General features: G+C 50.0%; 1 protein-coding gene across 4 annotated transcripts in view, besides 5 other annotated features; it reads right to left on the bottom strand.

Annotated features, from left to right (window-relative positions):
- The window catches only part of ACSL5 (acyl-CoA synthetase long chain family member 5), a 54,261-nt gene extending 51,161 nt beyond the window's left edge, over positions 1 to 3,100 (bottom strand). For 2 of the 4 annotated variants that reach the window (NM_016234.4, NM_001387037.1), the window contains exon 1: positions 768 to 1,011. In NM_016234.4, the coding sequence (NP_057318.2) occupies positions 768 to 906 (139 nt within the window). In that variant the 5' untranslated portion in view covers positions 907 to 1,011. Of the gene's footprint in view, positions 1 to 767; positions 1,012 to 1,673; positions 1,949 to 2,946 lie in introns of those variants that run through there. The other 2 variants (NM_203379.2, NM_203380.2) reach the window with 2 other exon arrangements.
- Positions 367 to 867: an enhancer, noted in NCBI's record as "H3K4me1 hESC enhancer chr10:114136107-114136607 (GRCh37/hg19 assembly coordinates)". NCBI's record gives its function as "activates a minimal SCP1, AML or CMV promoter by ChIP-STARR-seq in naive H9 embryonic stem cells {active_cell/tissue: H9 hESC(naive)}" and the evidence as "EXISTENCE:reporter gene assay evidence [ECO:0000049][PMID:30033119]".
- Positions 868 to 1,368: an enhancer, noted in NCBI's record as "H3K4me1 hESC enhancer chr10:114135606-114136106 (GRCh37/hg19 assembly coordinates)". NCBI's record gives its function as "activates a minimal SCP1, AML or CMV promoter by ChIP-STARR-seq in naive H9 embryonic stem cells {active_cell/tissue: H9 hESC(naive)}" and the evidence as "EXISTENCE:reporter gene assay evidence [ECO:0000049][PMID:30033119]".
- Positions 868 to 1,399: a biological region, named in NCBI's record as "H3K4me1 hESC enhancer GRCh37_chr10:114135606-114136106".
- Positions 890 to 1,109: an enhancer, noted in NCBI's record as "active region_4064". NCBI's record gives its function as "activates an Ori minimal core promoter by ATAC-STARR-seq in GM12878 lymphoblastoid cells {active_cell/tissue: GM12878}" and the evidence as "EXISTENCE:reporter gene assay evidence [ECO:0000049][PMID:35858748]".
- Positions 1,250 to 1,399: an enhancer, noted in NCBI's record as "active region_4063". NCBI's record gives its function as "activates an Ori minimal core promoter by ATAC-STARR-seq in GM12878 lymphoblastoid cells {active_cell/tissue: GM12878}" and the evidence as "EXISTENCE:reporter gene assay evidence [ECO:0000049][PMID:35858748]".
- Positions 3,101 to 14,011: the final 10,911 nt, after the last annotated feature.

Below are 14,011 nucleotides of genomic sequence, written 5' to 3'. Positions count from 1 at the left end.
AATCACCTACACATTGGAGCTATAGATTCAATTCTACCTTTCAGACCACCAAAAAAAGGCTGATATCTCAGAAGGTACCAAGCCCCGGTGGTAGAGTCCCTTTCCAGTGCTTATTCCCTGAGGGTCTCCGGTGGTAGAGTCCCTTTCCAGTGCTTATTCCCTGAGGGTCTCCGGTGGTAGAGTCCCTTTCCAGTGCTTATTCCCTGAGGGTCTCCAGTGGTAGAGTCCCTTTCCAGTGCTTACTCCCTGAGGGTCTTTGAGATTCACCTTAGGACCCTCAGGGAGTGGGCATTGGGAAGGAAGTACTTAGGAATTAAGCAGCACCTGAGACTTAACCTGTGGCCTTACTTCCTAAAATACACTCAGCTCCATTCATCTGTCTCTCCCACCCCATTGGTCTCATTCATCAGTCTTACCCAACATAAAATTGAGGGCAAACCCCCAGCCCACCTCAGGGGAGCTATGCTGGATGCTCAGACCCACAAAAAGAGGTCTCTGTTTTGGTTCACCTTCCCCAAGAGAGTCGAGAGAAGGAAAGTGAGCCCCATGCATGCCCCACATCCTTCCTTCCCGTTGCTCCTCCTGACACAGGGTCTGAAGGCATGACCGAGACCAGGAGGGAGACAGCATGATGTGCCCGTGGAACTCAGCCGGCCCTTGATTCTAAGTCGCTTAAAGAAAGTCGGGGGTCAGGATGCCCCCTTGGCCTCTGTCACACCCTCACAAGACCCCCTTGCTGAATAACACCCCCTCGATGGTCCCCTTACCCTGCGAGGGGGCCGCATCTCTCAGTGCTTCTAGTGAATGGGGGCTTCCCGGCTCTGAGTTCTTCCTGCCACACGAGTCCCTGTCCTTCTTCCCTCGCTCGTGGTTCCTCCAGAGACAGGGTGGCTTCAGAGCGTCCATGCAGGCAGAAGGCCGGCCCAGAGTGTCCCCAGTTCTGCCCTGCTCTGAGCTGTCCCGAGTCAGGCCATGTCAGGCTTTCTAACGTGCTCGGGGACTTCACTTCCTGGTTTTAATTTTTTTTTTCACAACTGAAAGTGGAAGTGTTCTGACCAGGAGGGGAGAAGCTGCCAAAGCTACCCTGGCTCCGTGTCAAAGCCTTTCACCTCAGCCCCTAAGGGCCGACACAAAAGCCAGCTTGCCTCAACACAGTTGACCCTGCCCTCCTGTGGCCTATCATCTTTCAACTAAGATGAAAACAAACAAACTAAAATGACTTGAGGTGCCCCCTCAGATCAGAAGCCTCACAGAGGCAGAGGTGACGCTGTTCCCTGCTGGATTCGGAGGACAGGAAAGTCTGGCTAGAGGGTACCTCAGCCCTCAGACCCACACAAACACCTTCTACCCCGCCTCTCTCCAGTCGCCAGAGCTGCCTGCCTTGGTCTCTGAAGAAGTTCTGGCAAAGCCAAGAAAATAAGCAAGTCAGGAACGACAGGGCTGTGAGTCGTTCAATTGGCATGGTTTCTTTCCCTCTGATACAGTCACACCTCAAAACTTAACTTAAAAATCGATTCTTTCGCCTTGGTCACCCCCAGTATTACCAGGACCTGTATTAGTCTCATTTTTGATCCGCCTAAGGCTGTGGCTACAGGGGGGCCCTGGAGCTACCATTCTCAGATTAGGAAGCCGAAATGACAAATTTTCCTGCCCCTTCCCCACCTCACAGATACCTCAGAATGAAGCAGCACTTTCTCCAGCCTCGATCCCCCACGAAGGCTCACAGGAAGTTCAGCATGATCCTGGCTCTTTGCTGGAGCTAGATTAGGGTTTGTTCTTTCTACAGAGCAGTTCTTAAAAGCTTCCTACTAAGGAAGCCAGGGTGAGCTGTGCCACAGTCTCAGAGAACACAAGAGCTGAGCCCTTGGCCTCTGGGGAGCCGCCTTTGGACATGGAAGAAAGATGAAGGGCTGGGAGACGAAGTGGGGCCTGTGGCATTCCATCCTCTGGCTCATCTCACGGCTGGAGGAGCACTTGTCATTTGCTTAGTTTCAGGAACTCAGCTCCCCAAGAGGCAACTTCCTCTAGAGGAGAGCAGAGGATGGCAGAGTGGGTGTCGAATCTCAGCCACACTAATACCTCTGAGCCCTTCACCGGGTGCTGTCTTCCTTCACCAAAGGGCTCAGGGCCAGGGGAAGATGAGGTTTTATTTCTTTTTTTTTTATTGACCTCCTCCAGTAAAAATGCTCAAGTTCAGGAAGGTTGAGTCATTCTAAAGGCCCATCAGAGTTGTATTCCTATCAATCCTCTGTGCACATGAGTGACACCCTCAGGATTTCAGGGGGTAACTGAAAGCTTTGGCAACCCACAACAATTCTGCATTATTGGGCAGGCTGTGGAAACTGACCAATCAAGTCTCAAATTCTAGCCACACCACCTTGGAGCTATGTAGCTTAGGCCATGCTGTTTAACAGCCTGGAGACGCACTATGCCTCTGTGAAATGGGAAGGATACCACCTGCTTTATAGGATGAGATACACCAATGAAGTAACATACATAATCTACCCAGAACAGTCCCCAGCACCTAATCGAATATCTGCTGATTCCCTTCCTCTCTGTCTGCCAAATGGGACTCTCTGCCCTCAGCAGCTGACGCACGATCCTTCTAACTACACTGAGACAGAAATTTCTTAATGGAAGATGAAGGAGACCCACATTCTGGCTTGGTGTGCTTTAGTACACTTACCAAAATCAGTGTTCCCTTCCAATTCCATCCCCTGCTAGCATTTGGATAGCTCATATATCTCCACCCCTTTTCCAACTGATTTTTTTCTTTGCCTCCCACACAAGTCAGCTGAGATTACTATTCAACTAAATGTAATTTCATGTTATTAAAGAGCCTTAGGTTGAGCATAACAAATCCCACTTTCTTTCCCCACACCAATCCCCTCCCTACTATCTCACAGATATATTCAATATAGTGCAGGTAGTATCATTGCAGCTTACCTTGGAAGAAGACTCTCCCTTCCTGGGTCCAGGAAGTGCTCCCCTCACAGCTGGCTGTATTGATTCAGCACCACATTCAGGCACTTCTACTCTTTCCACAGCTCCTAGGACTGACTGGGACACACCCGAAGCTACTGTGTACTGTCCTGAGAGTGGCCAACACACTCCCCTGGAACCTTTGAATCTGTCACAACAGAAGTTCAAAGGTAGAAGTTACCTGTTCAAACACTTGTAGTAACCTCTGACAGTAAGAAAAGCAGTGTTGGGCAAAAGATTAAAACAAGAGATTGTTATGCAATGGGCTTAAGCGGGAAAAAAAAAAAAGACGGCCCTTAGTTCAGAAAGCTAACGTTTACCAAGAGAAACCTTCGATAAAGCTCTACCTCAGGGGAAGGAGAAGGGGTAGACAGGGCTTTGCATCTGCTTTGGGGGCACAATCCTTGAGACTGTGATAGGAAGAGGAAGGTCTAGATTACTAGAAGAAAAAGGGCTCCTTGAGATCAGAGTGAGAGAAAAATGAGAAGCCACTTTAATTGGCTCAAGCTATAACTTTAGGATTCAGACTAAGCAGAGGTGTGCATTTGCAGACCAGCTATCTTCTAGAAGGGACCACTGCCCCCTTCAGAATTAGAACGTCTCCAAGACAACCAAATGAGCCAAATCAGTCTAGAGTCTAGGCTGAGAGACAAGCCTAGGACGGTTGTTTTTAGGATTCGGAATCACGAACACAGTCTGCAGCACACATAGTTTAGCAAGGCGCTAGAATAGGAAGCATTGCTTCCTGGCTAACACGGTGAAACCCCGTCTCTACTGAATACACAAAAAATTAGCCGGGCGTGGTGGTGGGCCCCTGTAGTCCCAGCTACTTGGGAGGCTGAGGCAGGAGAATGGTGTGAACCCGGGAGGTGGAGCTTGCAGTGAGCCAAGATCGCGCCACTGCACTCCAGCCTGGGCGACACAGCGAGACTCTGTCTCAAAAAAAAAAAAAAAAAAAGAAGCATTGCTACTGCGTCATGGCTCAGCCATCCTACTCTCTCCTTTTTTTTTTTTTTTTTTTTTTTTGAGACGGAGTCTCACCGCAACCTCCACTTCCTGAGTTCAAGCAATTCTCCTGCCTCAGCCTCTGGAGTGGCTGGGATTACAGGCATGCACCACAATGCCTGGCTAATTTTTTTTTTTTTTTTTGTATTTTTAGCAGAGACAGGGTTTCACCATGTTGGCCAGGCTGGTCTCGAACTCCTGACTTCAAGTGATCTGCCTGCCTCGGCCTCCCGAAGTGCTGGGATTATAGGCATGAGCCACCATGCCCAGCCTCTCTTTCCACTTTGAAGTTCTCTAGTCACCATTCTTGATTCCAAGATCATTAGGACTGCAAGGCATCATTACTAAACAAAAACAGTGGGTAGAAATGAAAGAAACCCTGGAGATGATGTGCAAACTTACTGTATAGGTGAGGCCAGTGAGGCCTTTTCAGGTGAAAGAAGGCTTCTGGAATCACACAACCAGTCGGTCAAGACAGCACCTGACTCAGAGTCATGAGAACCCCTGCAGTGCCTTGGCCCCTATGCTGCCCCATTGATCTGTGTATGTTTAGCTACCAGAATGAAGCCGCGGACCCTCGCAGTGAGTGTTACAGTTCTTAAAGGCGGTGTGTCTAGAGTTTGTTCCTTCTGATGTTCAGATGTGTTCAGAGTTTCTTCCTTCTGGTGGGTTTGTGGTCTTGCTGGCTCAGGAGTAAAGCTACAGACCTTTGCAGTGAGCATTACAGCTCATAAAAGCAGCGTAGACCCAAAGAGTGAGCAGTAGCAAGATTTATTGCAAAGAGCTAAAGAACAAACCTTCCACAGTGTGAAAAGAACCCCAGGTGGTTGCCACTCCGGGCTCGGACAGCCTGCTTTTATTCTTTTATCTGGCCCCACCCACATCCTACTGATTGGTCCATTTTACAGAGAGCCGATTGGTCTGTTTTACAGAGAGCTGATTGGTCCGTTTTGACAGGGTGCTGATTGGTGTGTTTACAATCCCTGAGCTAGACACAAAAGTTCGCCATGTCCCCACTAGATTAGCTAGATACAGAGTGTTGACACAAAAGTTTTCCATGTCCCCACTAGATTAGCTAGATCCAGAGTGTCGATTGGTGCATTCACAAACCCTGAGCTAGACCAGGGTGCTGAATGGTTTACAAACCTTGAGCTAGACACAGAGTGCCAATTGGTGTATTTACAATCCCTTAGCTAGACATAAAGGTTACCCAAGTCCCTACCAGAGTAGCTAGATACAGAGTGTCAATTGGTGCATTCACAAACCCTGAGCTAGACACGGGGGGCTGATTGGTGTGTTTACAAACCTTGAGCTAGATACAGAGTGCCCATTGGTGTATTTACAATCCCTTAGCTAGACATAAAGGTTCTCCAAGTCCCCACCAGAGTAGCTAGATACAGAGTGTCCATTGGTGCATTCACAAACCCTGAGCTAGACACAGGGTGCTGATTGGTGTGTTTCCAAACCTTGAGCCAAATACTGAGTGCCGATTGGTGTATTTATAATCCCTTAGCTAGACATAAAGGTTCTCCAAGTCCCCACCAGACTCAGGAGGCCAGCTGGCTTCACCCAGTCGATCCCGCACCGTGGCCACAGGTGGAGCTGGCTGCCAGTCCCACACCGTGTGCCCACACTCCTCAGCCTTTGTGTGTCTGGAATTGGTGGGTTCTTGGTCTCACTGACTTCAAGAATGAAGCTGCACACCCTGGCGGTGAGTGTTACAGTTCTTAAAGGCAGCGTGTCCGGAGTTTGTTCCTTCTGATGTTCGGATGTGTTTGGAGTTTCTTCCTTCTGGTGGGTTCGTGATCTCACTGGCTCAGGAGTGAAGCTGTGGACCTTCGCGGTGAGTGTTACAGCCCTTAAGGTGGGGCGTCTGGAGTTGTTTGTTCCTCCCGGTGGGTTCGTGGTCTTGTTGGCTTCAGGAGTGAAGCTGCAGACCTTCGTGGTGAGTGTTACAGCTCATAAAGGCAGTGTAGACCCAAAGAGTGAGCAGTAGCAAGATTTATTGCAAAGAGCGAAAGAACAAAGCTTCCACAGCATGGAAGGGAACCCCAGCAGGTTGCCACTGCTGGCTGGGGCAGCCTGCTTTTATTTCCTTATCTGGCCCCACCCACATCCTGCTGATTGGTCCATTTTACAGAGAGCTGAGTGGTCTGTTTTAACAGGGTGCTGATTGGTGTGTTTACAATCCCTGAGCTAGACACAAAGGTTCTCCACGTCCCCACTAGATTAGCTAGATACAGAGTGTGGACACAAAGGTTCTCCAAGTACCCACTAGAGTAGCTAGATACAGAGTGTCCATTGGTGCATTCACAAACCCTGAGCTAGACACAGGGTGCTGATTGGCGTGTTTACAAACCTTGAGCTAGATACACCGTGCCGATTGGTGTATTTACAATCCCTTAGCTAGACATAAAGGTTCTCCAAGTCCCCAGCAGTCAGGAGCCCAGCTGGCTTCACCCAGTGGATCCAGCACTGGGTCACAGGTGAAGCTGCCTGCCAGTCCCGCGCCATGAGCCGGCACTCCTCAGCCCTTGGGGTGGTTGATGGGACTGGGCGCAGTGGAGCAGGGGCCGGTGCTTGTCGGGGAGGCTCCGGCCACACAGGAGCCCACGGAGGGTGGGGGAGGTTCAGGCATGGCGGGCTGCAGGTCCTGAGCCCTGCCCCGCCGGGAGGCAGCTAAGGCCTGGCAAAAAATCCAGCACAGCACTGGTGGGCCGGCACTGGTGGGCCGGCACTGCTGGGGGACCCAGCACACCCTCTGCAGCCGCTGGCCGGGGTGCTAAGCCCCTCATTGCCTGGGGCCGGCAGGGCCAGCCGGCCGCTCTGAGTGCAGGGCCCGCGGAGCCCACACCCACCCGGAACTCGGGCTGGCCCGCAAGCACCATGCGCAGCCCCGGTTCCGCCCACGCCTCTCCCTCCACACCTCCCCACAAGCTGAGGGAGCGGGCTCAGGCCTCAGCCAGCCCAGGAAGGGGTTCCCACAGTGCAGCAGTGGGCTGAAGGGCCCCTCAAGTGCTGCCAAAGTGGGAGCCCAGGCAGAGGAGGTGCCCAGAGCGAGCGAGGGCTGTGAGGGCTGCCAGCATGCTGTCACCTCTCACTTGGAAGGTCGATGGGAAGGGGCAACGTGGAGCAGGGGGCGGTGCTCGTCGGGGAGGCTCTGGCTGTGCAGGAGCCCATGGCTGGTGGGGTTGGGTGGGGGAAGGCTCAAGCATGGCAGGCTGCAGGTCCCGAACCCTGCCCCACAGGGAGGCAGCAGCTAAGGCCCAGCGAGAAGTCAAGCACAGCAGCTGCTGGCCCAGGTGCTAAGCCTCTCACTGCCGGGGGCCAGCGGGGCAGGCCTGCTGGTCTGAGTGCGGGGCCTGCCGAGCCCACGCCCACCCGGAACTCTCGCTGGCCCACAAGCCCCGCGTACAGCCCCGGTTCCTGCCCGCGCCTCTCCCTCCACACCTCCCCGCAAGCTGAGGGAGCCGGCTCCAGCCTCAGCCAGCCCAGGCAGGGGCTCCCACAGTGCAGCACGGGCTGAAGGGCTCCTCAAGTGCCGCCAAAGTGGGAGCCAAGGCAGAGGAGGCGCCAAGAGCAAGCAAGGGCTGTGAGGGCTGCCAGCACGCTGTCACCTCTCACTTACTGTATTTGGTCAGGTGACCAATACCAAAATCAGAAGCTAATACCACTTCCTGTTGACTCTTGTGTGGAGGAGAGACTAGCATATTAACATAGAAGTCTTCTTAGGTCAGATTCTCATGTGCATTAACTTTTTTTTTTTTTTTTTTTGAGACGGAGTCTCACTCTGTTGCCCAGGCTGGAGTGCAGCAGGTCTGTCTTGGCTCACTGCAACCTCTGCCTCCTGGGGTTCAAGACATTCTCTTGCCTCAATCTCCGGAGTAGCCAGGACTACAGATGTGTGCCACCACACCTGGTTGATTTTTGTATTTTAGTAGAGATGGGGTTTCACCATGTTGGCCAGGCTAGTCTTGAACTCCTTACCTCAAGTGATCTGCCTGCCTCGGCCTTCCAAAGTGCCAGGATTACAGGTGTGAGCCACTGTGCCTGGCCGTTTTTTTTTTTTTTTTTTTTTTTTAAGACAGGGTCTCACTCCTGTCACTCAGGCAGTAGCAACATCATGGCTCACTGCAGCCTTGACTTCTTGGGCTCAGGTAATCCTCCCACCTTAGGCTCCTGAGCACTGGGACTACAGGTCAGTGCCACCACACCATTTAGGTAACGGTCCGTCCTCTCTCCAGCCACCTACGTTTGCTGAGCCACAGAGGCCTGGATTCTTCAAAACACAGGATTTTTCTTTTTTTGACATAGGGTCTTCCTCTGTCACCCAGGCTAAGTGCAGTGGTGCAATCTCGGCTCACTGCAACTTCCACCTTCTGGGCTCAGGTTATCCTCCCACCTCAGCCTCCAGAGTAGCTGGGACTACAGGCATGTACCGCCATACCTAATTTAAAAATGTTTACTAGAGATGGGTTTTGCCATATTGCCCAGGCTAGCCTCTTACTCTTGGGCTGAAGTCATCCACCCACTGCAGCCTCCCAAAATGCTAGGATTATAGGCATGAGCCTCTGCACCCAACCTGGTTCACTAACTATTTTTTTTTTTTAAGAGATGGAGTTTTGCTCTGTCACGCAGGCCAGAGTGCAGTGGTGTGATCTCAGCTCACTGCAACCTCCGCCCTGTGGGTTCAAGTGATTCTCCTGCCTCAGCCTCCCAAGTAGCTGGGACTACAGGCGTGCACCACCATGCTTGACTAAGTTTTGCATTTTTTAAGTAGAGATGGAGTTTCACTATATGTTCACAAGGCTGGTCTCAAACTCCTGACCTCAGGTGATTTGCCCGCCTCGGCCTCCCAAGGTGCTGGGATTACAGGGATGAGCCACTGCACCCAGTCTGTTCATTAACTCTTGAAGGTCACGTTTTTGCTAGAGTCTTAGTCCTTCCTTAGTATGTGAAAGAAAAGGGCTTCTAAGAAGTGGCTAAAGAAGACACAGTTCAATGGGGACTAGGGGTGTGACAACTACTTGACTGGACTAGAGTCCAGTTGTGTTAAGTAGCAACCCACTGAACTCCTTTGATACCACACTTACTGGAGAGTAAGATACTCCAAGCCAGTGGTTCCCAAACTTCAGCATCACAATCCCCATGGAGGGCTTGTTAGTTACAACATAGATTTCTGGCTAGAATTTCTAACTCCGTAGGTCTGATCTGGGGCCCAAGAATCTGCATTTCTAACAATTCCAGGTGATACGGATGCTGCTGCTCTGGGGACCACCCTTGGACCACATTTAGGATCATCTCTGCTTCAAGCAGCTATCCTGTCTTCAAAGGGCCCGGCTACTGAAATGTCACAAGGGATTGCATTTGGGGTAGTCTTGGCTATGGTGAGCCTGCAGGTGGGGGGAAAACTTGACACAGAATGGAACTCCTCAGATGCTCCAGGAGAGAGGTGGTCTTCAAAAGCAGCCAGCAGGCCAAGTCTCAGAGAAGTGCTTTGGCCACAGCAGGAGGTATCGGCAGTCACGGTCGCACCTCTTTAGGGAAATATAAAACAAAACTCACAGCATCACCACTAGACAGCCCAGGTGGGTATGAGAGTGGGTGTGTGGGGGACATCAGCTGATCCAACAACAGTCATTTTACTTGTGAGGGTACCTAAAATGCCAAAAAGTGAGGCAGCTGGCTCAGGTGATGTATTAACTAATGAGAGAGATAAGCCCAGGACCCAGGTCTCCAGTGCCCGAGCAGGCTACACCATCTCGATAAACCACTGCTTCCTACAGCCTCTCTCTTCAAAAACGTGTTAGATAAGCTTCTTTGCAACACGCTCTGTCACTCCCTCCCCTCCTACAGCCATATCCATTTAGAATCCAATACGAAAATTAATAACCTTTAGGCTTGGGCATCCTGCAGCCCCTAAAAAGTACAAACTTTCACTTTTAAGGTCATTCATAGGTGAGGTCTGGAGGAGTGAGGAGTCTGCCCCACAGCTACAACGCTGACATACTCACAACCATGCTGCTGGGATCTGTTTGTATACAATCCCGCTACAATGCTGACATACTCACAACCACACTGCTGGGAACTGTTTGTATACACTCCCACCCTCTTCCTAGGGCCAAAGAAACCACACATGTACTACACAATGTTGTTCTAGAATACTAGAGTCTAACATTCTAGAGTTTTGTAACACAGCCTGGAAATAGTCATTTTATCTTTAATGGCAGAGGCTGGCAACTCTTCAGAAACAGAAACCAGGCTTTCCCCTCGTTTTATTTTATTTTATTTTACTTTTGAGATGAAGTCTCACTCTGTTGCCCAGGCTAGAGTGCAGTGGCACAATCTTGGCTCACTGCAACCTCTGCCTCCTGGGTTTAAGCCATTCTCCTACTTCAGCCTTTCGAGTAGCTGGGATTACAAGCACCTGCCACCATGCCTGGCTAAATTATTATTATTTTTGTGTATTTTTAGTAGAGATGGAGTTTTACCGTGTTGGCCAGGCTGGTCTTGAACTCCTGACCTCAAGTGATCTGCCTGACTTGGCTTCCCAAAGTGTTGGGATTACAGGTGTGAGCCACCGCACCCAGCCCCCCATGTTTTAGAAAGCAGAGAAAGACAGACAATATAAGCAGACTAACTTTACATAGTGCCATCATGCATTCACATAGCTCCTCCCGGTTTATAAAATGCTTCTAGTTTGCCTCTTAGCAAACCTGTGAGGTCTGAGTGGGAACAATACTTTCAACATCCAAACTTCCAGTGGCTGCTGGGAGCCAGGTCCTGTGACAAACACTTCATTTGACCCTCACAATACACTTGGAAGGTAGTTATGATTTGTACAGACAAGAAAAATAGAAGCTCAGAGAAATGACATCCCTTCCCAAGATCCTATAGCTTGGTAACAGAGTGATGACGGTGGTGGGGCCAAGTGTTATTTTTTAATAATTTCAGGCGATTTTGCAAAGCCAAGTGATTTGCAGCTTGTCTCTGAAAATCTGCCTTTCTTTAGGAAGCACAGCTGGTTGCAAAGCAGATTTCACAGCAGGTTGAGACGAGTCAGGCAGAGCAACCAAATGTTACTTAAAGGTCTTAGTGAATATGTCCAGATTCCAGAGACCACTGAACCTAATGAAGTCCTTTTTTTTGAGACAGGGTCTCGCTCTGTTGCCCAGGCTGGCGTACAGTGGCACAATCTTGGCTCACTGCAACCTCTGCTTCCTGGGTTCAAGCAATTCTCCTGCCTCAGCCTCTCGAGTAGCTGGGATTACAGGCACCTGCCATCACACCCAGCTAATTTTGTTTTGTTGTTGTATTTTTAGTAGAGACAGGGTTTCACCACGTTGGCCAGGCTGGTCTTGAACTCCTGACCTCAAGTGATCCACACGCCTCGGCCTCCCAAAGTGCTGGGATTACAGATGTGAGCCACCATGCCCGGCCCCAGATTTCTCCTTTTAATATAACCTCTGACCTCAGAATCTAGAAGATTCATCTTAAACCTCTAGATCTTTTGTTTTAGAATATTTCACTGGATTAAGATGATGGAACAGTCACAAAATAATGCTTACCATAAGCATTTTTGGTGAGGGCAAAGAAGAAATGTGAGGACCAGAGAGAAAAGGGAAAGCTCATGATGTCTGCAGTAGCTGGGACATGTGAAGCACGCGAAACACTTATTTAGGAAGGATCTTAGGCTGTTTTGACCTCTACGTCAAGCCTTTTCAAGTCAAACAACATGACTCAACAGGCAAGAGAAGCAAAGACCTAGAGCTATGGGCTGGATCTATTCTTGTTAACTTCACAATGATGGATCACAAAGAAAGAGGGGAGATGTCCCTTCCTGGAGTTAGCTGAATAGCAGGGCAGAGGTTGTGATGGCATGCAGTGGGCAAAAACAGAGCTGTGTTGCACTGACCTTTAGCTTCCCACATGGCAGAGTTGACTCTGAAGTTTATCTGTGTACTGAGATATGAGAAGGAAGGAGCGAAGTCCCTTAACTCATAACCAGGGTGTCATAATCAGCCACAGAAATTCATGTTCGCCCTTTCCCTGGTTATCTGATATTTCAAAAGGCTAATGACACTCAAAGTACAACTTACAGGGCAGTGATTCAAGTTTTTCATGCCAGATCCTCTCTGAAGGCCTTCATGATGGCGAACATCACTGAGCTCCTACCGCGTGGTGGCAACACTACATTTAAGTACTATCGCATTTAATCACACAGCAGCCCTATGGAAGTTTTTATTGCTATTTAGAAGGAGAGGAAAATCTAAGAGAGGCCAAGTAACACAGTTAAGAGAAAGAGTTGCTGCCATCGCTGAGCTGTGGGGTCAGCTTCTTCCTCATGCCCCATGAAGTTCCCATGGTGCAGGGTTCACTACAGGGCCCGGAATGGAGCTGTGAGCCCTTGCTGCATAGCAGACGGCTAAGAAGAAAGAGCTAGGGGGTAGCCTAATTAAACCTCCAAGGTACACAGCTAACAGTTGGCTGAGTCTCAGAGTCAGATTTTGAGCTTAGGTGGTCTTGAGTCTAGAGCCCAAGCACATATCTGTGACTGCGTACCATCCGTTCCAAGACCCCCTAGCAAACTGGTGTGTTTATATATGCGTTTCTTTTCAGAATTTTTACTGGTCTCTCAAAGAAAACTAAGACCCATTGCCCTACAGGAAGCCAGACCCAATACCAGACATGTGGACCGGATGCCAAGGGTCCGGCCCCCTCGAGAAGGGGTCCCTAGCAGCCTGGACATCCTGCCTGCTGCAGAGCCCATTACCAACTCAGAGCCTTGCTTCACTTCACTGGAGGGGCCAATGCTCCACGGGTCCCAGCTGTGCGACCCCCTAGCTCTTTCTTCTTAGCCGTCTGCTATGCGGCAAGGGCTCACAGCTCCATTCTGGGCCCTGTAGTGAACCCTGCACCATGGGAACATCACAGGGTATGAGGAAGAAGCTGACCCCACAGCTCAGCGATGGCAGCAACTCTTTCTCTTAACTGTAGCTGCTGATATCAATTGCTTGGGCATGCATGCTCTTGAGAACACGTGCTTACTCTTCGTGGGAAGAAAGTGTTACCCAAGTGTGAGCACTTGGCTGACAAGAATGTTGTTTGCCCAGATTACAATAAAAAGCTCCCCCAACCCCAGGCACCCCTCCCCTTTCTTGAACCACACACCCAAAGCAAATTGCCTTTCAGCCTTAGATTTGAGCTTTCCAATGGGTGGGGCATGACACATGACACATGGAAGGGCCAGTAGACACTGATCACCCTCAACCCTCGGGATGTGCTCGTGAACAGCCCCATCTCAGCCTTTTTTTTTTTTTTATCCCCCTGAGGTGGAGCCTCGCCCTGTTGCCCAGGCAGGAGTACAGTGGTGTGATCTCAGCTCACCGCAACTTCCGCCTTCCAGGTCCAAGCGATTCTCCCACCTGAGCCTCCCAAGTAGCTGGGATTACAGGTACCTGCCACCACACCGGGCTAATTTTTGTATTTTTAGTAGGGAAGGGGTTTCGCCATGTTGGCCCGGCCAGTCTCAAACTCCTGACCAGGTGATCTGCCCGCCTCGGCCCCTCAAAGTGCTGGGATTATGGGCGTGAGACACCGTGCCCGGCCCCATCTCAGGCTTTAAGTATGCTGAATAAATATTATTCTCAGTGTCATGATGTAGGCAGCTTGTTCCTTTATCAGCAAGAGCTTCCAAAGAGCATTAAAGAATCAGATAGACAGAACTGAGGCCACTGAGAGAGGTGTCAAGTTGAAATTCCCAGAACCTTCAACACCCCATAGGAAACATCGCTATCTCCCAGGGGATTAAAAGGGTGGCTCAGAGTGAAAATTTACTGTTCAATACTATAACCACTAACTACACGTGGCTACTGAGCAGTTGAAATGAGGCAAGTCTAAATTGAGAGGTGTTTAAGTATAAAACACACACCAAATTTTCCAGATGTGGTATAAAGAAAATAACATAAAATCTCAATGTTTAAAATACTGATTATGTGTTGAAATTATAATATTTAGGATACTC

This window comes from Homo sapiens, chromosome 10 (assembly GCF_000001405.40).
Source record: "Homo sapiens chromosome 10, GRCh38.p14 Primary Assembly".
Taxonomy (NCBI): domain Eukaryota; kingdom Metazoa; phylum Chordata; class Mammalia; order Primates; family Hominidae; genus Homo; species Homo sapiens.
This window is presented reverse-complemented; position numbering and strand designations above follow the sequence as displayed.